The sequence below is a fragment of the Homo sapiens genome, chromosome 15, assembly GCF_000001405.40.
Source record: "Homo sapiens chromosome 15, GRCh38.p14 Primary Assembly".
In the NCBI taxonomy this organism is placed as follows: domain Eukaryota; kingdom Metazoa; phylum Chordata; class Mammalia; order Primates; family Hominidae; genus Homo; species Homo sapiens.
In genome coordinates this window covers 73734270-73755171 of record NC_000015.10, presented here as the reverse complement: position 1 = coordinate 73755171, position 20902 = coordinate 73734270, and the positions used below count along the sequence as shown (strand labels likewise).

General features: G+C 55.2%; 1 protein-coding gene across 6 annotated transcripts, besides 1 other annotated feature; it reads left to right on the top strand.

Annotated features, from left to right (window-relative positions):
- Window positions 1-1820: 1820 nt before the first annotated feature.
- Window positions 1821-19714, top strand: INSYN1 (inhibitory synaptic factor 1). Of its 6 annotated transcripts, none has more exons than NM_001384353.1 (4): window positions 1821-3062; window positions 3475-4197; window positions 14530-14604; window positions 14696-19714. In NM_001384353.1, exon 4 carries the CDS (start codon window positions 14797-14799, stop codon window positions 15253-15255), a length of 459 nt encoding a protein of 152 aa, NP_001371282.1. In that variant the 5' UTR covers window positions 1821-3062; window positions 3475-4197; window positions 14530-14604; window positions 14696-14796; the 3' UTR covers window positions 15256-19714. The 6 variants fall into 6 exon arrangements, with proteins under 6 accessions (NP_001371282.1, NP_001371281.1, NP_001290183.1 ...); NM_001384352.1 differs by having other exon boundaries at window positions 3310-4197; window positions 14700-19714; NM_001303254.2 differs by having other exon boundaries at window positions 4075-4197; window positions 14530-19714.
- Window positions 2931-3704: an enhancer, noted in NCBI's record as "H3K4me1 hESC enhancer chr15:74043809-74044582 (GRCh37/hg19 assembly coordinates)". NCBI's record gives its function as "activates a minimal SCP1, AML or CMV promoter by ChIP-STARR-seq in primed H9 embryonic stem cells {active_cell/tissue: H9 hESC(primed)}" and the evidence as "EXISTENCE:reporter gene assay evidence [ECO:0000049][PMID:30033119]".
- Window positions 19715-20902: the final 1188 nt, after the last annotated feature.

Below are 20902 nucleotides of genomic sequence, written 5' to 3'. Positions count from 1 at the left end.
GTGGGCCCTCTGGATCCACCCCATCAGAAGAACATCTCCCCAACCCAGGGCAGCTGGATTCCCACCCTCACAGCTTCTGGTTCTCCAAAGGCAACCCCTGAGCTGAATCTCAAGGAAGTAGGAGTCAGTTCCCCCAGCAGCCCCCTGTGAATACATCTCTGAGATAACTCAGAGACCAAGGAACATCATTAGCACCCACAGTACCATCACTGTCTCTGGAATTCAAGTCCCCCATGGGCCAGCCTAAAACCACCACCTAGCCCCACCTCCCTTGACCCCTCCTCTGCCTCTAGTTCAAGATCTCTGCTTCCCCGCCACTTAAACTTTTGAAAATGTCATCTGTACTCACTCCTGTTCCTCACTGTTGGGCACATAGTCCTCGATGCCCAACAGTTTGGTTCCTGTCACCTTCTACCCTCCAAAACCAATTGCCCCTGCCATGTCACCCGTGGCCTCCTGAGTACCAAGACAAATAGACACTTTCTGTTCCTTCTCTCACAGCCACTCCCTGCCGCGTTCGACACTGATGAGCACTTGCTTCTCCCAAACTCCTCCTACTGGGCCTACATAACTCTCCACTTTCTGGTTCTTCTCCTATCTTTCTAATCACTCCTCCCTCTCACTCATGGACTCTTTTCTGAGGTTCCAGCCCAGAACTACTGCTTTTGTTACTTCTACGCAGCGTCCCTGTTCATCTCACCCCTCTAATGATGGTTCAAAAAAAAAAACAAACAAAATGTTACTCTCAAGCCCCAGCCTCTCTCATGAGCATAGATTCATAGACTCCACTGTCTTCTGGCCAACGGTGAAATAGCCTCCTAACTGCTCTATCTCGGTGGCACCTCCTCACACCCACTCACAATGCCCCAGAGGGGTTTCCTGAGAAGGCAAGCAGGCCCAGGTTCCTCCCAATATCAAAGCTCCCTCCGCCCCGGGATAAAATCTAAGCTCCTAACCATGGTCTCTGAGTCTCTCTGTGGTCTGCAGTCAAAATGGTATCTAAAAGGCCCCAGTTAACTTAAACTCCCCTCCTCCCATTTCTGCTTCTGAGCCTGTGCTCCCACCCTCCTCCCTGCCTGGAATGCTGATCCCCAACCCCCCACACTGACAGTCACTCCTACTCCTCCTTTGAGATTCAGCTCAGGGGTGGCCTACCTGGCAGAACCCGCCAGGCCCTGGCCTGAACTGCACCACCCAACCCACACTTCCCTACTCCCCTGTTAACATTGCTTCCAGAATTTGCCTCTGTTGTGACTCAGGAGTGTCCCCGAGCCGTGAGCTTCCTGAAATGCTCTGGTGGCCCCGGAGCCTAGCATGGAACCTGATGCACAGAAGGCCTCTAATACATGAGTCAATTGTTGAATAGCTGAAGGAAACGATGGGTGTCCAAGACAGCCTCCAACCCCCAGCCCTGCCGACCCAGAGCTTGGCACACAGTAGGTTCTCAGGAAAGGTTGGCAGTATTCTATTTTCTGAATGAATGTGATTTCAGGCAAGGTCAGGGGCTGGGTTATGTGGGTGGTAGAAGGGAGGGTCTGGATGCGGGAAACGTGGCCAAAAGGGAAGCTTGGGGGCAGTGCAGTAGGGGAAGGGGGCAATGGGGGTGTCTGGAGAGGTGGGAAAGGAACGAAGTCCCCAGAACGCTGTCCCTCCGCGCCCCAGGTCAGCCGGCGTGGGGTCCGGTCAGTCCGCCTCCAGCCCCGCCAGCGAGACCCTTCCCCCTCGCCCGGGTGGCGAGACCCCCCTGGCTCGCACGCTTGGCCCTCGGGGTTGGGAGGCGTGTGTGTCGCTTTAAAAGCTCCCTCCCGGCGCGGCGGGCCGGCCCCTTCCCTGACAGCGCCGAGGCAAGCGGAGCCAAGCGAGCCGGGCGGCCTTTAAGGGAGCCAGCGCCCGCCCGGGCGGCCAGTCCGGCGGGGGGCGGCGGGGCGGGCCGGGGGCGGCCGGGGCGCGGGCGGCGCGGCGCCGCGGCGCTTGGGGAGCGGGCCCAGGCCCCGGGAGCCCGGCGGGGCAGGGCAGGGCGAGGCGGTGAAGGGAGGCCCAGCCCCGACCCGGCGCCTGTTTGCCCCACCGGCGGCGACCCGGCGCCCGGGGGCTGCTGAGGCGGGGAGCCGAGAGCGAACGGACGGGAGGTAGCGGAGCCGAGCGGAGGCTGCGAGCCTAGTGCGCCCCGGCCCGGCCCGGCCCGCCGCTCGCCCCCTCCCCTCCCTTCCCCTCGCCGCGCCTCCTCCCCTCGCCTCTTCTCGCCTCCTCTCCTCTCCTCCGCCCGGCGCTGCTCCCGCCTGCGCCCGGGCCGCCGAACCCAGCCCGGCCGGGGCCCCCGGCTTCGCGCGCTCTCGGCTGGGCCCGGCGGGGACCGGGTCCCCGCGGCTGACATCGCCCCTCCTCGGGGACCCGGTGGATTCCGGACCTTTCGGAACGTGAACTGAGCCGTGGGAGCGGTCTCGCCCAGGGCCGACCGCGGGGCTGGGCTGAGCAGACCCTCGCGGCCGCTCCGGACGCCGCGGGTGCCGGGGCACGGACGTTCTGGGTCCGGGCTGAGCGCGTCCCGGGCGCCCGGCGGTGCCAGCTCACTCCGGGCGGGGTAGGGCAGGGCAGACCCCAGCGGAACACGGACCCGGCCGATCTGGACTGGACAGAGCGAATCCCGGACGGTGCAGAGCCCGGGGAATGCCGGGCGTGGGCTGAGGGGATCCCGGCGCCCTCCCAGCCCTCCGACTTTGGCTCACGCGCTGGGACCTGCCCGGCGTCTCCTCGGCCTCCCCGCGCCCCGGTCACCTGTGGCCTCGGAGCCCCAAATCTGCCGGACCCTCGCTCATTCCCGACCCCGAGCCTGGAGAGGCTTGAGAAAGATTTTTCCTGCCCCCTTCCCTGGAGCGCGGAGGCCCCGCCCCCTCCCACCGCCCAGATGTCTCCGGTCACGGCTCGGAGGACCTCCCTGAGGCCCGGGGCCGAAGGGTCCAGAGAGAGAAGCCCGCCCTAGGGAGCCTTGGGGGCCCCCCAACTCCGTCTTGGGGCTTGGCCCCCGACGCTGCTTGGAGGGAAGGCCGGTGCCCCCACCCTCGGTGAGTCCAGGAGTGGGGGTTCTGAGGGAAGGCGGGGCTGGGGGAGGGAGGGTCCGCTGGGAACGAGGGCACCCTGGGGGCGCTAGGAGGGAGGATGGGTGACTGGAGAGGCCCTCTGGTGAACCAGCCTGGGCAGGCCTGGCTGGGGGGAAGGTGGGGGGGGAGGGCGGGAGCTACGGCCAGGGTGCCCCGTAGCAGGCTGAGGACTTCTGCTTCTAAAGCAGGGGCTCCCTCCCTTTCCCTCTAGAGGAGGGGCTGTGCTGTAAACCGTCTGCCTCCACCACCCCTCCCCACAAAGAAAAAAAAATCCCCAGCGAGGAAGGGTGCAGGCTGGCGAGAGGAGGGAGGCAGCGGCATTGCCGGCTGGTGCTGCAGCCTGGGAGGGCTGACGCCAGGCTCGCTCTCTCCGCAGGGGGCTGCCCTCTTCCAATCCAGCTCCCTCCCCAGAGCTGCCCATATCCGGAGCCCCTTCCACATCTGGAAGACCCTGGCCACCATCCCTCTGCAGGTGTCAGTTGCATCCAGAGACCTCTGCCTTTGCAACTGCCTAGGAGTTGTGAGGGGATCCCTGCTGCCTTCCCCCATCCCAAGGGCATCTCTTACCCTTAGTCCCTGCAGAGTCATCCCCCTGCCTCTGTGTTCAAGCTCAGGCAGAGATCAGCTCTGCACACCCACAGGCACTTCAAGACCTGGAGGCCACTCCTGGGACCCAAGGTCCCTCCCCCTCCTCTCCTGTGTCCTCACCTTGACCCCCTCTGCTAGACTCTGTCTCCCTCTGGGTGTCCCACTCTCCACCCAGAGGCAGAGGAGGCTGGGTGGCAGGGGGCAGGGGCTGGTTGAGGGCCGCCCAGGGCCAGGGTGGGCTGGGGGGCCGTTAAAATGTGGAGCTCTGCCCAGCCGAGGGGGGCTCCGTGGAGGCAGACGCAGTGTGTGCCCAGCTGGGGGGAGTATGGGCAGGCCTGCGGCCACGTGGTAAACGATGAACATTCGGGGCGCCCCGGACCTCGGGCAGCCCAGTGACGACCCCAGCAGTGGTGGTGAGCGGGAGCGGATTCGACAGCGCATGAAGATGGTCATCGGGCAGCTTGAGGGCATCCTTCGCGAGCTCAAGGAGGTGGCCAAGGAGCTGAGGGAGGTAAGTGAGGGGTGAGGAGGGACCAGACAGACCCTAAGCCAACCTTCTTGGGTTTGGCACAAAAACGTACTCATAAATACGTTGGAGTGTGCAAAGCTGCGTGCACATGTGTCACTCTACTGGGGACCTTCTTTCTCCTTGCTCTCCTTTCCGCAAATCTGCTTTGCTAAAAATCTCATCAGACCCCAAGGCTGGAGGGGCCTCGGTGTTGTAGAGGTTACTTGAGCAGCATGTCAGTGGGCCTGGAGCTCTGGGTTAGCACAAAGGGCTGCCAAGATGGCCAGTAAGGACTGAATCCCGCCACAGCTTCTTAGTGGAAGACAACCTTCTGGGACCCAAGCTGACCCTTGAACCCACCATCTGTCTCCCAGACTCTGATCTGGTCACAAGGGACCCTGGGAGAGTGCAGATAGTTGTGCTGAGGTGGTTTCCACTGCTTGAGGCCCAGCTCAAAGCATATCCCTAGAAATCACACAGATACTGAGAACCCTTGATCTTGGAAAAATTTAAGCCAGCTATGTCCTCTTTGTCCGGGGGTAAGAATGGGTCTGGGGGTGCTGTAGTGGATAACAGAGTTCCTTGCATATTTTGGCAGGGGCAGGAGTCTTCCCTAAGGGGATGCGAGTCTCCATCCCACTGTTCTAAATATTTTTGCCAAGGCTGAAAAGCCACTGAGAAATGCTGGGATGTGTGTGTCCCTCTCTGTCTTTCTAAGTGGAGCCTGGTTTAATTACTGCTTCTCACATCGCTAGGGTAATGAGGTACACATGTCTTCAGCCCTGCCCCCTGTGCTGCGTTCGAGTCCAAAATGCATGACCAGCGTTCTGAGCTGCTAGCCTGAATTTGCCCACTGGGTGCCATTATACCAGCCAGGTGGGCTTTAGGCAAATTTCAACTCCTTGTAATCAGGGCCCCTGCAGAGATGGCAGGGAGAGTGATTGAATTGGAGTTATGGGCTCAAGCTCTCCCTGGCCAGCTGTGCAGGGAGGATAGGGGCTCTAGGAAGGCTGAAGAGGTGGGGTGATGGTAGGTACCAACTCCAGGCTGGCAAAGTGGCATTGCAGCCTGGCCTGAGAGCCAAGGAGGAGGGGTTGTTTGAAGGGCACTGTGTTCAGAATGGGATAGGGAGTGGGCATAGAGATGCCAGGACAAGAGCTGTCCAGGGTCAGCCTCGTGGAGCCTACCAGGAAATCCCATCTCAGAAGATGAGAATGACTGTTGCTTCAGGCAGACTGAGGTGGTGGTGCTTCTGCCCATGGACTGGGCCGGCCATAGTCTGGGTTGCACATCTTTGGACAGTACAATTTGGAGATCAAGCGCCAGATGCCCCTGCGGAACGCTTCCTCCTCCAAACTCTTGGGTCCAAGGCACTACAGTTTTCCCCCTGCCTCCATCTTATTTTAGATCAGGGCCATGGGAACTGTCCAAAGTCTCAGTCTTGGCCAGGGACATGAGACCTATGCCCCGGCAGGTACCCACAAAGAGCCAGGATTGACTCTAGGCCTGGGAGTCAACTCTGATACAACTCCCAGCCTTTTCCCAGTTGGGCATCTTCCAGGCATCTGTGTTCCCTCTCCCCACCGCATAGCCACCCAGAGCTTCAAAGGATCTCATAGGTAATCCAGACCAGCTCTGTCCATTTACTATTGAAGAAACTGAGGCCCAGAGAGCAATAGGGGCTTGTCCAAGGTTACACAGCCTACCAGTGGCAGAAGTATGCCTAGAACTCGGGTTCCTGATGCCTTTTCTGGGGTTTCAGCAGGTGAGCTACTGGGCGATCTCTTTGCATTTTGACAGGGGCCTTCCAGAGATGATCTCTTATGCTCATCTGTGATGCAATAGCTCTAGGATTTATTTGCAGATCGTTTAGATGCCCTCTCCTTCCCTTTCACACTCACCCACTCCCATGTCTCCAATAGCAGAGCTCCAGGTTCACAGGCTATGCAGCCCAGAGGCCTCAGCCAGGACAGAGAAAATGAGTCCCCTCCCCCCACACACCCTGTAGGCCATGTGCCTCCACCCAAGACTTTGGCAGGTTGCTACGGCAACCAGAGCCTACCCCGTATGCCACTGCCTGCCCGCTGCCAATGGCACCCAGCTGGGGGAGTGGGTAAGCCTCAGAACTCTCTCGTCCCCCAGGCAGGGTCTAGACACAGGGTGACAGGCAGAGGGGAGTGTGGAGGAAGGCAGGTGAAGCTCTGGGAGGCCCAAGCAAAAGAAGAGATGCCATCACCGTCTTCCTGTGAGATGGGATTTGCCAGGGATGGGGTTACCAAGGGGGGGTGCCAGACCCCGGTTTGGAGAAAAGGGTTGGAATCTCCCTGCTCTCTGGAACCTGTGGTCTTGGCTCTTGGCTCTCCAAGGGAGCTGTAAAGCTGAATCTGCCTGGCTCTCCTCAGTCCCTTTGTGTAGCATTTTTTTATCGGGGGCATGGGTAGGCTCAAGGTTGAGAGGCACTCACTTGTTCCCTCACCTCACCCCATGACCTGGGCAGCACCAGCTTAGAGCCCACCAGCTGTGTTCTTGTCTCAGGCCAAGCACTTAGAAGTGGAGATGAGAGTCACATACAAGACTGTTGGGGGTGGGGGGCTGCACATATGCTTGGTGAAAGAACAAGGCCAGCGGAGTGGAAGGGCTTAGCTTTATTCCCCTCAGCCATCTTCCTCCTCTGCCTGCTGCTCCCCTTCCCCAGCCCCCTGATGCCACTGATCATGGCAGACTCTCCTCATCCTCTCGAGCATATGGCCTGAAATTCACTGAAAGATGAGCCACACCAAAGCACTTCCTCCCCAGGTCCCTCAGCCTCAGTTTGCTCATCTCTGAAATTGGGATGTGGTGATTTGCACTGCACGGTGATCTTATAAGGATTTATTAGGGGCTTGGCATGCAGTGGGCTGGGGGCGCGGGGATCAACACCTACTCACACTCCTAGAAGAGTTGAAGTTCCCTCTCCCACACCTCCCTCGCCCTCGCAAACCCCTACTATAGCTCTGCCACTGGCTCCCTGGGCGATGAGCAAGTTCTATCCCATTGGTGGGGAAAGTCTTTTAAAGGATTAAGTGAGGTGAGGATGTAAAAGTGCTTTGAAAGCTAAAATTGTGCTGCAGAGGGATATGACGGTCAATCGTTAATTAGCCCTTATCTCTCCCAGGCTCCCCAGTACTCCAGGATACCGGGCCAGTCCCAGCAGGTTCTCTAAGCTCCTCAAAGTTCTGTAGATCTTAAGTAAGAGATGCAGAACAGCTCAGGGGCTATGAGCATGGGCTCTGCAGCTAGATGCCTGTAGTTCAAATCTGAGCTCCACCCTCTCCTTAGCTGTGTGAACTTGCGAAAGTTACTTTACCTCTCTGTGCTTCTGTTTTCCCATTGGTAAAAATGGGGAGACTACATTTTAGGCATCCTCCCCTACCCCTGCCCCAGGGTTGTTGCGAGAATTAAATGAGACATATATAAAGCACTTAGCACAATGAGAGGCACAAAGCTCACTCCGTATCTGTTTGATGTTTTTAATGAATTATTCTAAAACTGGCCTGCTCCTCAGCTCCACGTACGGCCTTGTTTTCTGGAATCACATCAGTTTCTTAGCCATGACCAGGGAGGTCAGGACCACATCCTGGCCTCCTGGCTGGGGCCCTTTAGTTTCTCCTGCAGTCAGCAGTCTCACTCCCTGCCAGTGGGAAAAGCAGATAGAGAGTGACAGGGATGGGGGCAGGAAGGGGGTCTCCAATAAGGTGGCCTTTGAACAGAGACCCCACAGAAGTGAGGATACAAGTCACATGGCTATCTAGGGGAAGAGCATTCCCGGCTGAGGGTGCAGCCGGTGCCAAGGTCTCGAAGAGGAAGTGTGCTTGGCATATGCAGGTTCAGCTAAGGAAGCCAGAGCAGCTGGAGGGCAGTGAACAAGGAGAAGAGTAGAGGAAAGGTCAAAGAGGGAGCAGGGAGTCAGATTCCGTCGAGCCATGCACAGCATGCACGGAATTTGGATTCGTTCTCAGTGAGAATCCCACACACTCTCCAGGAATCTGCTGGTCATGTTTCTGGGTGGGAATCTGCCTCCCCACTGCTCCCCTGTTACCCACCCACCAGAAGCTCCCAAAGGCAGGGTTAAGGGCCCCTGTCCTTGGCCCCCAGGTATTGAGCTTACCTTGAGCAGGTACTTGGCCTCCTCATCCTTGGTTTCCCCCTCCCCCAGGCGTCACTCAACATGGGGGCTCAATAGTGATCCTTGCATTAACACCAGTGTCTCCCACATCATCGGTGACTCTTGGGTGGGATATAACTTAAGGGCACAGTTGCTCACTTTGGCCCAAACACCTCAGGAAGATGGAGGGGTTGGCACAACGTTTCCCCAGCCTTGGGTGGCAGTGGAGGATCCCCCACCGGATTTGCCTAGGAAGCAGTCATCCTGGCATTCTGTTTCCTGGCCATTCCATTGTGCAGTCCCATCGGCAAGGGGCTTTGTCTGAAGGTGGCAGGGAAAGCCATAGGCCATGCAAGTGTGAGATAAATGGGGCCCAGCCAGGAAGCAGCTGGAGCAGGAGAGGCTGGGGACCACGGAGCTGCGCCAAAGTGGGTCAGCTCCATCACCTGCAGCTCAGCAAGAATTGCGTGGATTTTTTTCTTATTATTTTTGTTCACGCCTTCCTTTCCTCCCTTTTCCCTTTGCCTTCTCCTCCTCCGGACAGATTTACCAAAGCTCCCTGGCCAATTAGGCCAAATTGCAGGATGAGAGCCATGAATCACGATCAGCTCGCTGCCCCTCCAACTCCACAGCCCCCCAAGAAGATAATAACGTAATCACAGAATTAAAAAATAATCAGTGGTCATAAATAATGCAGAATCCCCAGTTATGTAACCAGCTGCCTTGGGGAGCTGGGAGAGAGGGAAGGAGGTGGCAGCTTGTCAGGGGAGGTGAGGTGGGGCAGGGTGGGGGGTGTGGTGGGGGGTCCGGGGGTACAGGATGCTGGTTCTGGGACTACAGGTCCTCAGTCCTAGCTCTAAGGCCTTAAGGAACACAGCAAAGCTTCCACTGGAGAGGGGGCTCAGCCAGGGCTGGAGAGAGGGTTGGCGTCTGGCAATATAGGATTGTCCAGGTCTATGGAACTCTTCCTCAGAAAAGAAGCCCCCAGCAGTTTTTTTGTTTTGTTTTGTTTTGTTTTGTTTTTTGAGACGGAGTCTCGCTCTGTCGCCCAGGCTGGAGTGCAGTGGTGTGATCTCGGCTCACTGCAAGCTCTGCCTCCTGGGTTCACACCATTCTCCTGCCTCAGCCTCCCGAGTAGTTTTTATTAAGCCATCTGTCTCAACTCATCACTCATCCAACAGCTGTGTTTGCAGAATGTGCCGATCCCTGTGCCGAGCTGGGGATGTAGCGGTGAGCAAGAGACCTAGTCCTGCTCCTCATGGGGTTTACTGTGTAGTGGGGAGACAGACATCAACCACGTTATAACATATAGGTGCAAAATTGTAGCAGTGTTAAATATTGTGTAACATTTTCAGGAGAGGTGCAGGGTGCTTTGAGAGCCTTTCATAGGGAACCTGACCTCAGCTGGGGATCAGGGAAGGCTTCCTTCTCGAAGTGAAGACGGAGTGAGTAGGAAAGGAGGGAGGGCGTGTCAGGTGAGGCCCAGAGGCAGAAGTGAGCTCGATGGAGTGTGAGTGTGTAGGGGTGGTGAGGAGGCAGGCCTGGCAGGGTGGAGGCTGCTTGCTGGAGAGGAAAGGGGGTGGGTAGGGAGTTATGTTTGGGAGGCTTAGGAGTTTGGGGAGTATGGAAGGGCTGGAAGCACAGGGGCAACGTGGACCTGTTGGCTGATAAGAAAGTTCCCTAGGTGCAGCATGAAGCAAGAGCTGGGAGGAAGTTGCTATCGGTGGAAAGACTAGATGGGTGCAGTTTTTCAGCGAGGGGCGCTAAGGCTGTGACCAGGACAGAGGTTGGGGACACCTCTGGCACGAGGTTTGCAGGTTCTGCCACAGCCCTCAGTCCTGCCCTTGCTCTCTAGGGCTCCCTCTTGGTCTCTTCAGAGCAAGTCATTCTTGGTCTTAAGGTGCAATGCCCAGGAGTCAAGACTCACCCTCTGGTCCCAGCTCAGCTCCTCCCAGTCTCTGAGCCTCATTGCCCCCCTCGGCAAACACATTGAGACAGGTGGACTCAACAGTGCCTGCAGTCCCTTCTGGCTTGGGGGTTGTCTGATTCTGTAATTTTATGGTTCAATTTCTCTCTCCACTCTCTCTCTCCCCCTCTCTTTCCTTCTGTGTATATAATTATTTCCATGCACTCCAAGACAATCCCAAATTACATGTAGGCAAAATGATTATTAAACCTCAGGGAAAAATCACAGATTTCAAGACATCCAAAGCAGAGAGCAAGACAAGACTGGGGTCTGCTCCACACCTGCCCTCACCATTGGCCCAGGAAACGAGGCACCAGGGAAGAGCAGTGGGGATTGTGAACTGACCCAGGCCCCCCACAGAGAAGCTGCATACCCTTGGGCACATGGCTTCCCTTTCACATCCTCACTATGTCATTCATCAAGTGGTGTGACCTGTCTCACCTAATAGGTTGGGCCAGATTTGCCTGTGGGCCTCATAGCCAGTTGGTTTTTAGAACTTCTTCTGGTTCTGTTCTTTCTGGAGACAGCCCTAACTTTGGGCAAAATAGGTACTGTCCATGTGCTAGGTTTTGAAAGGCCTGGCATGTCCCATTATTCTGCCACAGGCACTGGAAATTCTGCCACAGTCACTGGACCCACATCAGAGGGTCATTCCTTTGGTGCAGAACTAATTCCCACTGCTCTTAGGCCTGGTGCGGGGGCATGATCACATGTTAGCCCCCAACGGTGCATTGTAGATGTTGGTAGTCTGCCTTGTTCCATATGCTGTCCAAAGCGCATTAAGCCATTAAATCCTCACAACAGCCCTATCAAGTAGGTATTACTAGAATTCTCCTTTGATGATGAACTTAGGCACAGAGACGTTGAGTAACTTGGCCAAGGTCACACAGCTGGTAAGCAGTGAAGCCAGGGTAGGACTCCATGTCTGGCTCCAGAGCCCAGGTTCTTAAGTATTTAGCTATCTTGACTCTGTGACACATTCATATCTGTTAAATTTTCTTTTTCTTTCTTTTTTTTTTTTTTTTTTTTTTTTTTTTTTGAGACAGAGTCTCTCTCTGTTGCCAGGCTGGAGTGCAGTGGCGCGATCTCGGCTCACTGCAATCTCCGCCTCCTGGGTTCAAGAGATTCCTCTGCCTCAGCCTCCCGAGTAGCTGGGACTCTATGCACGCACCACCACGCCCAGCTAATTTTTTTAATTTATTTTTATTTTTTAGTAGAGACGGGATTTCACCATGTTGGCCAGGATGGTCTCAATCTCCTGACCTCATGATCTGCCCGCCTCGGCCTCCCAAAGTGCTGGGATTACAGGCATGAGCCACCACACCCGGCCCATATCTGTTAAATTTTCATCACCCTGGGTGAGGAGGGGAGTGTTACTTCCTTTTATAGGACAGGAAATCAAGCCCCAGAGGGGGATAATCATCTGCCTAAGGTCTCTCAGCCAAGAGGTGGCAGACGTGGGACTCGGGAATGCAGGCCTCCCTCTTTCTCTTTCCTCCATCCCCCCAGGTTGGAACCAGAGAGGAGTGTACTAATAAAGAAGAGGAAGGGCTTCTTGGGTTGGGGGAGTGTTCCAGCCTGAAGGCTTGGGCTCCTGCCATGTGTACCCTGGATCTTCCCTGCCTGAGGCCCAATGGTGCTTGTCCTCACTAAGCATCAGGAGACCCAGCTTCTGGGCCCAGCCTGGCCTCAGCTGACCCTGTGAGGTCACAGCCAAGTCATGCAACTCCAATTCCTACTGGCATTCTGCCCCGCCCTCAGGCAGCAGCAAACTCCACAGCTCTGGCTTGATCAGGGGAGTCTCATTTGAGGGCATAGCTGCCCCAGAGGTGGTGGGCCTCTCCTGAGGCCATCAATGCCTTGAATTGCTGGTCTTCACCCAGCTTAAATCTCCCAGTGCCCTAGGCTAGTGGTTTTCAAAGCAGGTCTCTGGACCAGCAGCAACAGCACCTGGAGGCACACTAGGTAGGCACCTTCTCCAGCACCACCCCAGACCAGCAGAACCAGAAACTCTGGGGAGTGAGCTGAGGGACACTCAAGTCTGAGTGTCCCTACGCTAGGCCAGTGCTCCCACCAGCCCTTGGGTGGAGCTTGGGTTGAGCAAGGGCTTCTGGGAGATAGGAGTTTCTCTGAGGTTCCTTTGGGGCAGGAAGGCATCATCCTGGGAGAAGCACAAGAAGAAGTAGCCAGATTGGAGGGTAGGGCCCTATCCCTGCCGCCTGCCCAAGCCCAGCAGTCACAGCAGCACTTCATGATGGTGTGCAGTTTTGCAGGGGGCCGCAGGGGGAGATTCTCAGCTTTCCAGGGACTAGTGCCCAAGACTCCTCATCTGTAGACACAGGAGATAATGATCTCATGGGTGGAGGTGAGCACTCGAAAGCATGGTGCATGGTAGGTGCTCAGAGATGGGAGGTGGTGTCATTTTCATCCCCAGTGCTTTGCAGAGTCCTTTTGCTGCCCTTCTCACTGTCCTTCATGAAGCTCTCATAAGGTTGGCTGGGATTGTCATACTCACTTGGTGGTCTGGGATTGTCATACCCACTTGGAGGTGAATGAGGTTGAGGTCCAGAGAGGTTCTGTGATCTTCCAAAAGACACACAGAACAATGTCAAAGCTAAGTCTGGAATCCAGATGTCCTGATTCCTCCAGCTCTTCTGGAGGCCTCAGCCAAGTGGTTTCCCCACTCCTGGCCTGGGCAATGGTTGAGGGGCCATCCCTAGGCATCAGCACCCAAGCAGCCTCTCAGAGTCATTCCTATAAACAGAGTCCTAGAATCTCAGACATGGAAGGAACCTTGGAAATAAACTAGTTCACCCACCCTCTTCGCTTACAGACTGGGCAACTGAGACCTACAGAGGAAAAATGGTTGACCAGGTCTCCTGCATCCAGCCCCTGACTCCTGATCAAGTAGTCTTCCCACTGGCCCAAGCCACTCTGGCCATCACTTTTGTCCTTGCTTTCCTCTCACTTTGGGGCACTCACTACCCCCACTCCTTGCCAAATACTAGCACATCCCTGGACAGCAGCAGCCCTTAGCAACTGTTTGTTGAATTAAGGACTTAATGAGTTAATTAATTAATTGCCTGCTCTGACCCCAGGTTGAAGGGCGCCAGAGAGGTGCTGGGGGCTGGATTCTGATCTGGATGACTCACTGTGGATCTCTTGGTCTCTGTTACTCTGACTCTTGGCCTCGCTGCTTTGTTTTCATTGTTTTTCTGTTTTGTTTTTGGTTGGAATCTTCTCTCTCCCTTCTCTTGCCCTGTCCCATCCCTGTGTCTCTGACTGGATCTCCCTCTTTCCCTCACTGTCTTCCTCCCTGATTTATGTGCTGACAGTGGCCACCCAGGCAAGGGAGTGTCCCAAGCCAGGGCCTTCTGTATAGAAGCCAAGGGCTTCACTTTATGCGAGGCAGGCCAGGGTGGAGTGACCTCCACAGCTGAGCTGCCCCCTGAGTGCATTGAACAAGCAGCTCTGGGCCCAGAATAGATGGCTTCTTTATTGCTTATCAAATAATGCTTGCTTTATTCCTTCTCTCAACAAGCCAGGATTGATCTCCACTTGTCAGTGGGCAGGGAAGGGGAAGGAATGAGGAGGCTCCGGGAGATGGAGATGGGGGTGGGGTGACCCAGCCAGTGCTGTACACCTGGTGTTCTTGCCGTGAGGGATGGTGGAGACCCAGGGGCGACAGTCACCAGTCAGCTGCAAGGACTGGTCCAGGATGCTTTAGAAAGCCCACACAGGGTCTTCCTTGTGATCACCCACATCATTTCCTCTCTGAGGGTGCATGGGCTGCTCAGCTCTTTGTGGAATGGGCTTGCTGGAGGCCCTCAGCCCCTCTGAAGTGGCCCCCTCTCAAACTAAGGAAGATTCATCCCTGATCACCAGGGCTGCCCCCAGAGCAGCTGCTGTGTTTGAGAGACAGGGGTGAGTGAATGGATGGTGTGCAGGGCTGGAAAGCAGTTCCCTCTCCCCCAGGGCACTGAACAGTGGTAAACAGACCTTTGGGAAGGGCCGGAACAAGCTCTGTCCAGCCTGATCTGATTTGGGCCCTCCACAGGGCAAACCAACCTGTGACCTCCAGGCCAGTCACCATCCTACAGGCTCTCCCCTGTCCAGTACGCTCATCAGCCAGGGGTCTACAGGGATGGGGTGGAGACACACTCACACCTGGCTGATGCAGGGACCCACCTGGCCCCTCTCATCTCCTCTCCCCTTCCCTGGTCAGGTGGTGAGCCAGATCGATAAGCTAACCTCGGACTTCGACTTTGAACTGGAGCCGGACGACTGGACCACGGCCACTGTGAGCAGCACCTCTAGCAGTGACAAGGCGGGCATGGGTGGCCCCTTTGACCTGGGCCACCTGGACTTCATGACAGCCGATATCCTCTCAGACAGCTGGGAGTTCTGCTCCTTCCTGGACGTCTCTACCCCCTCGGACTCCGTGGATGGTCCCGAGTCGACTCGGCCAGGGGCTGGCCCTGACTACCGCCTCATGAATGGTGGCACGCCCATCCCCAATGGGCCACGAGTGGAGACCCCAGACTCCTCCAGTGAGGAGGCCTTTGGTGCTGGCCCCACGGTGAAGAGCCAGCTGCCCCAGCGGACCCCAGGGACACGGGAGAGGGTGCGGTTCAGTGACAAAGTGCTCTACCATGCTCTGTGCTGTGACGATGAGGAGGGGGACGGTGAGCAGGAGGTGGAGGAGGAAGAAGTGGGCTTGCCCCCTGAGCCTGCCCATACAGAGGCCCATGCAGGCCCCCACAAGCCCTCCCCAGCCCCCTACAAGTCACGGCGCTCTCCACTGACCAGCCGCCACTCAGGCTCTACCTTGGCCCCTGAACAGACTCGAAGGGTCACGAGGAACAGCAGCACCCAGACAGTGTCAGACAAGAGCACGCAGACGGTTCTGCCCTACACAGCCACTAGACAGAAAGCCAGGGGGAAAAACTAGGGGCCGGGGAGGGGGCCGGGGGCGGTGGGCACATAGAGCTATAAATAAATATATATATATATATATATATATATATATTTAAACAAATGAAGTCATAATAAAATTTAAAAATGCTAAGGATCTGGCCCCACAGGCCCCAAAGCTTTCACAGAGCTCCTCTTAGACATGAAGATGCCCATTGGCCTCCTAGGTCCCAGGAGGTGTGGGCAGGACTGCCCTTCCTCCGTTCTCATTGCGGGGCTCCTGAAGGGGGTATCTGAAAGTATGTAAAACTGATGGGAGGTCTGATCCTCCTTTTGCTAGCCCCTGAACTCTGTGGTGGAGTCTGGCTGATGGCCAGGGCCATGTCCTAGAGGGGACTCCCCTGCAGGAGGCGGGCTCTAAAGGGAGTGGTGTCCCTTTAGGCCAGGGTTCACAGTCGGGGTGGTCTGGAGACTGCAGGACTCAGGGCCTGGGGGTGGCATCAGTCTGGCCAGGCCCTGCGTCACTTGCACCCACCATCCTTCTACTCCAAGGCAGACTTACTCGGCTATACACAGTCCTGCCTCACCCCCTTCCATCTTAGGGTTGCCTGGGACATAGGGGAATGGCAAGCTGCTCCCATGGCGCAGGCCTCCGTGCTGGGATGCTGGGCATCCACAGAGCCTGAAGGATCGCCTGGGCTGGGCAGGGGTTTGATTGGAGGGTCTGGACCACCCCCAATCCTTTCAGCTCCCATTCTCAGCCTGATTCTGAGACCAAGACCAAAACCTCAGGGCAAAGCCTCAGCCAGTCCTGGCGTGGCCCTAAGCAGACCTGAGATCTGTGCGAGGAAGTAGGCAGCCACTTCCATGGGGCTAAAAATTAGGGCCGTAGACAGGCTCCTGGCCACCTTCACCAGGTGGGCAGCCTTGGAAAGGAGCCCAGTGGTCCCCACTCCGTCCCGATGTCTCCACACCCAGCCCCTGAGCCCATCTCAGCAGGTCCTGAACAAAGATGAGGTTACAGCCTAGAGGTACCAGGGCTTCATCTGGGGCATGGCCAGCACAGGGACAGCAGCTGAATATCCTTGGGATAATAATGACAATTATATTGCTCACATTTATTGAGCAGGTCTCTATGCTACTTCTATGCCGAATACTTTTTATAGCAGCATCTCATTTAATCACCACAATAACCTGATGAGACAGGAAGTATTATTACCCCATTTTTCTTTTTCTTTCTTTCTTTTTTTATTTTTATTTTTTTTATTTTTGAGATGGAGTCTCGCTCTGTCACCCAGGCTGGAGTGCAGTGGGGCGATCTTGGCTCACTGCAACCTCCACCTGCCAGGTTCAAGCAATTCTCCCACTTCAGCCTCCAGAGCAACTGGGACTACAGGCATGCGTCACCACGCCTAGCTAATTTTTGTATTTTTAGTAGAGACGGGGTTTCACCATGTTGGGCAGGCTGGTCTGAACTCCTGACCTCAAGTGATTCGTCAGCCTCAGCCTCCCAAAGTCCCGGGATTACAGGCGTGAGCCACTGTGCCCCCACCTATCCCCATTTTTCAAATGAGATGACTGAGGTTCAAAGTAGTTCAGTACCTGCCCCAAAGCCACAAAGCCTGTGCTACTCTGCCCCCAAGAATTAGTGATTTCCAGGCTGTGCCTGGCTCTGCTAGCTAGCAGCTGTGTGACCTTGGCAAGTCCGTTTGCCTCTCTGAGCCTATCTACCTCCTCTGTATAATGGGTCTGGTAGTCTTCACCTACCTCACCAGCTGCTGTGGAGCTCCGACGAGATGGTGACTGTGAAAGCACTTGACAAACTGAAGGCACTGGACATGCCTTGTGGTCAGTGTGGCCTCAACCCAGATGTCCAGTGATTTCCAGGGCACAGGGGCTTTGAGTGGGATGGCCAAAGAAGACACCTCCATCCAACTGGGAGCCACCCCTGGGTCACAAACACTCCATTGCTTGGTCCCTCGCAGTAGCTCGAGGTCAGAAGTTGACTGCAGCTTGATTCACAGCCCCTCGCTCAGAGCAGGGAGGTGGGACTGGCAGCACAGCAAAGACATCGCTCCTTGGGGGCCTCCCTGTTGCATATTTCAATTAAGGCAGGTTTACAGCCCCCCAGCGTCTGTCCGGAGGGGGCCTGAGCAGCAGGCCTGGCAGCACCCACTGCTCCTGCCTGAAGAGGTGCTATCCAGCCCCGGCTGTGGACATACAGTGAGATTGTACAGGCCGGTCTGGAGCAGCTGCAGGGGATATGATCTGGATAAGACTGAGCAGACCTAGGAGGCTCTGCAATGTAGAGCTTATTCCTCAAGCTCATGGTGAGATTGGAGCCCTAAAGAGTTAGCCAGGGTGCAGCCACCAGTGTGGAAATCCAGGGATGGCGCAGGCCATGGCCAGCTCTTCCCAGCTCACGTCTGAGAACCAAGGGTCTGAGCCCCTCTATCAGCCCCAGGAAATCCTCAGCCATTTGGTGCTGATCAGCGATAGGGCTCTGGTTCACAGGATGAGTGCCAGGGGCTCCTCTGGGGAGAGGGGCCAGCTGCATTCCGCCCCACCCTGAGAGTGAGAAGGGGGCAGTCCCCGACCAGGAATGGGCCTACCTGGTGCTAAGAATGGACATAACAGTTCTCCCTCTGAGGCTTGCATTTCATCTGTCATGGCAAGAGCACTTTCAGGCTCACAGTTTCTCATCTTTTCAACAGTCAGGGAAAAGAAACCTATGGAATAGTTCGCATTTCACAGAGGAAGAAACTGAGGGCCAGAGCTAGGGGTCTCTGACACAGCCATGGGATCCTGCACCCCACACTGGCTCTATGTGACTCTGTAGTAGTGGCTAATGTCCATCAGTCGCCCCCTGCTCCCCTGCCTGGCCATTTGCCCCCAAATAGGGCAGTGGTGGGAGTATATCCTGGAGGAGGGGGAAGTGGGATATAGGTAGTACTTGGCTGACTTCACAATTTTGCTACACCCAGTCTGGACCTCCTGACAGTGGAGTGGGATCCCTGTGGCTTCCTTTTTCTTGTTTTTGTTTTGTTTTGTTTTTTTTTAGATGGAGTCTCCCTCTATCATCCAGGCTGGAGTGCAATGGTGCGATTTCAGCTCACTGCAACTTCCACCTCCCAGGTTCAAACAATTCTCCTGTCTCAGCCACCTGAGTAGCTTGGACTACAGGCACCCGCCACCACCCCAGCTACTAAGTTTTGTATTTTTAGTAGAGATGGGGTTTCACCACATGGCCAGGATGGTCTTGATCTCTTGACTTTGTGATCTGCCCACCTTGGCCTCGCAAAGCACTGGGATTACAGGCGTGGGCCACTACGCCTGGCCAATTTTTTTTTGTTTTGTTTTTTTGAGATGGAGTCTTGCTCCATCTCCCAGGCTGGAGAGCAATGGCGTGATCTCAGCTCACTGCAACCTCTGCCTCCTGGGTTCAAGCGATTCTCCTGCCTCAGCCTCCCAAGTAGCTGGGATTACAGGCACCCACCATCATGCCCGGGTTAATTTTTGTATTTTCTTAGAGATGGAGTTTCACTATGTTGGCCAGCCTCATCTTTGAACTCCTGACCTCCGATGATCCACCTGCCTTGGCCTCCCAAAGTGATGGGATTACAGGCGTGAGCCACCGCACCTGGCCCCAGTGGCTTCTTCAGACTTGAAACACAAAATGTGGCCAGCTAGGGATAGAGAGAATTCTGACTTTCAACACTGCTGAGTCATGGCATGGGCTGCTTCTGGGTAGTGAGCTCCCTGTCCTTGGGGTAGACACAGCCATCCCTTGGGTCCTTCCTCCAGACCTTCCAGGTACAGCCCTTTGCTGCTCTTCCCTGCCTCCAAACCTTTGCCAGTTTTTGAGTTTCTTTACCCAGGATGTTCCATCAGATCTCTCTGCTTCCGGGAAGTCCTATTCCACTGACCACCTACTGTGTGCACAGGCTTGTGCTGAGTGGTGCTGTGGAGGGGCAGAAGGGAGCTGGAACCTGGTGATGGAGAGAAGTCATAGCATGATGAATAACTCATGTCCACTGGGCACGTGCTAGGCACTGGGCATTGTTCTAAGTGTATGTCTTATCTCATTTACTCCTCACAGCACGTATGAGATAAGCAATCTTACTTATGTCTAAGTAGCTTCCAGATGAGGAAACTGAGGCTCTGGGAAGTGAAGTAACTTGCCTAAGGAAACACAGGATGGGCTATGGAACCAGGATTCAACCACAAACACAGTGACTTAGCATCATCTACTGCAAACATCCACTGCAGTTAAAATGCCTGGAGTGGGTGGCCTGGTCACTGGAGGTGAGGGTCGGGGCTGGGTCGTCTGAGAGCCAGGCGGGTCTTCGGGGTGAGGGGAGTGTTGGGGTGAGGAAACATGTGAACATGCCTCAGTCTTTGGAGAACTTAGTTACTGTTAACCTGAATGTCACCACCCCTGACTCGGAGACTGGCACCAAATGGATTATGGGTTCAATAAATGTTTGTTGAATGAATAAACGAGCCCCATTTGCAGAAGGGTATCCACTATGCATTCATTCAATCAGCTTTTATTGCAGACCTCCTGTGTACCAGGTGTCATGGTGCTTGCACACATAGGTATACACAACTCCTCTGTGAGGGTCTGGTCTGGTGTGCCTTGGGGCTGGGGAAAGTCAAAACTGAAGGGTGTGGGGTTTCAGCACTAAGGGAGCCATAGCTGCTGCTGGGTCTAGCCTGGGATGCCAGGGTAAGGAACCAGAAGTGGGAGGCAAGTCAGCTTGGTGAGGAGACCACTCTGGGAGATGTCCTGGGAAGGGTGGGGGTCCCCAACCTGACACTCCATTAATAGGGTGGGCACATTGCCATGTCTTTGGTGTCTAAGAATGAGGAGGCATCACTGTCTGTATTTTATAGATGAGGGACAGATGATGTCATCCACAGAAGTGGTCTAATGGGATCAAGGGACAGAAAGGAGGGTAAACTATTCAGAGACCCCAGCACCATCCCCTGTCCTTAATGAGGACTTGTCAACAAGAAGGGAAAGTGGGTGTAGTGGGGCTGGGAATTCCAGAGGCAACAAGACCAGCCCTCCACCCTGTCCACTCCTGACTTTCTGTTTCTCTGTTCCGGCGCTTCCCACACCCACCCATCTCCCATTCCACAGCTGAGACTTGTGTAAGAAAACTGATGTTTATTGACAACCTAGTATATATATGTCAGGTACCGTGCTACATCTTTTAACAAATACTAAATGACAGATTTAGTTGTACCTAGAACAGAATATGTTGCTCAATAATTATTTGTTGAGTAAATGAATTAACCACAATTTTTATTTTACAGGTCAGGGGAGGCAACTGATGAACAAATAAGGAATTCATTCTAAGTTACACAGCCAGAAATTGGCTGCTCTGGGGACTGACATTGCCATTATTATTTACACTATATATAAGTGCTACAATGTATAGCATACTATGTGATTGTTAGGCACTTTACATAGTGCTCACCAGGGTTTGGGCCCTGACTTCAACTCCGCTTTAGGCCAGACTTTCAGAACCACCCCCTAGTTTCTGGTGGGTCTGGGGCACTGACTGGGTGACTAGCAGAAAAACAGCTCCAAGTCCAAAGCATCCTTCCCCCTTTCCATTTCTCTGGCAGAGCCAAGACTAGCCTGCCCTAAGCCCAGTAAATATCACTGCCCTTTC

Excerpts from the sequence above, each read along its gene's own strand:
- INSYN1 (NM_001039614.3), top strand. The coding sequence starts at position 4,042 with ATGAACATTCGGGGCGCCCCGGACCTCGGGCAGCCCAGTGACGACCCC. Across the intron at positions 4,198-14,529 it reads TGGCCAAGGAGCTGAGGGAG|GTGGTGAGCCAGATCGATAA; the intron begins GTAAGTGAGGGG and ends TTCCCTGGTCAG.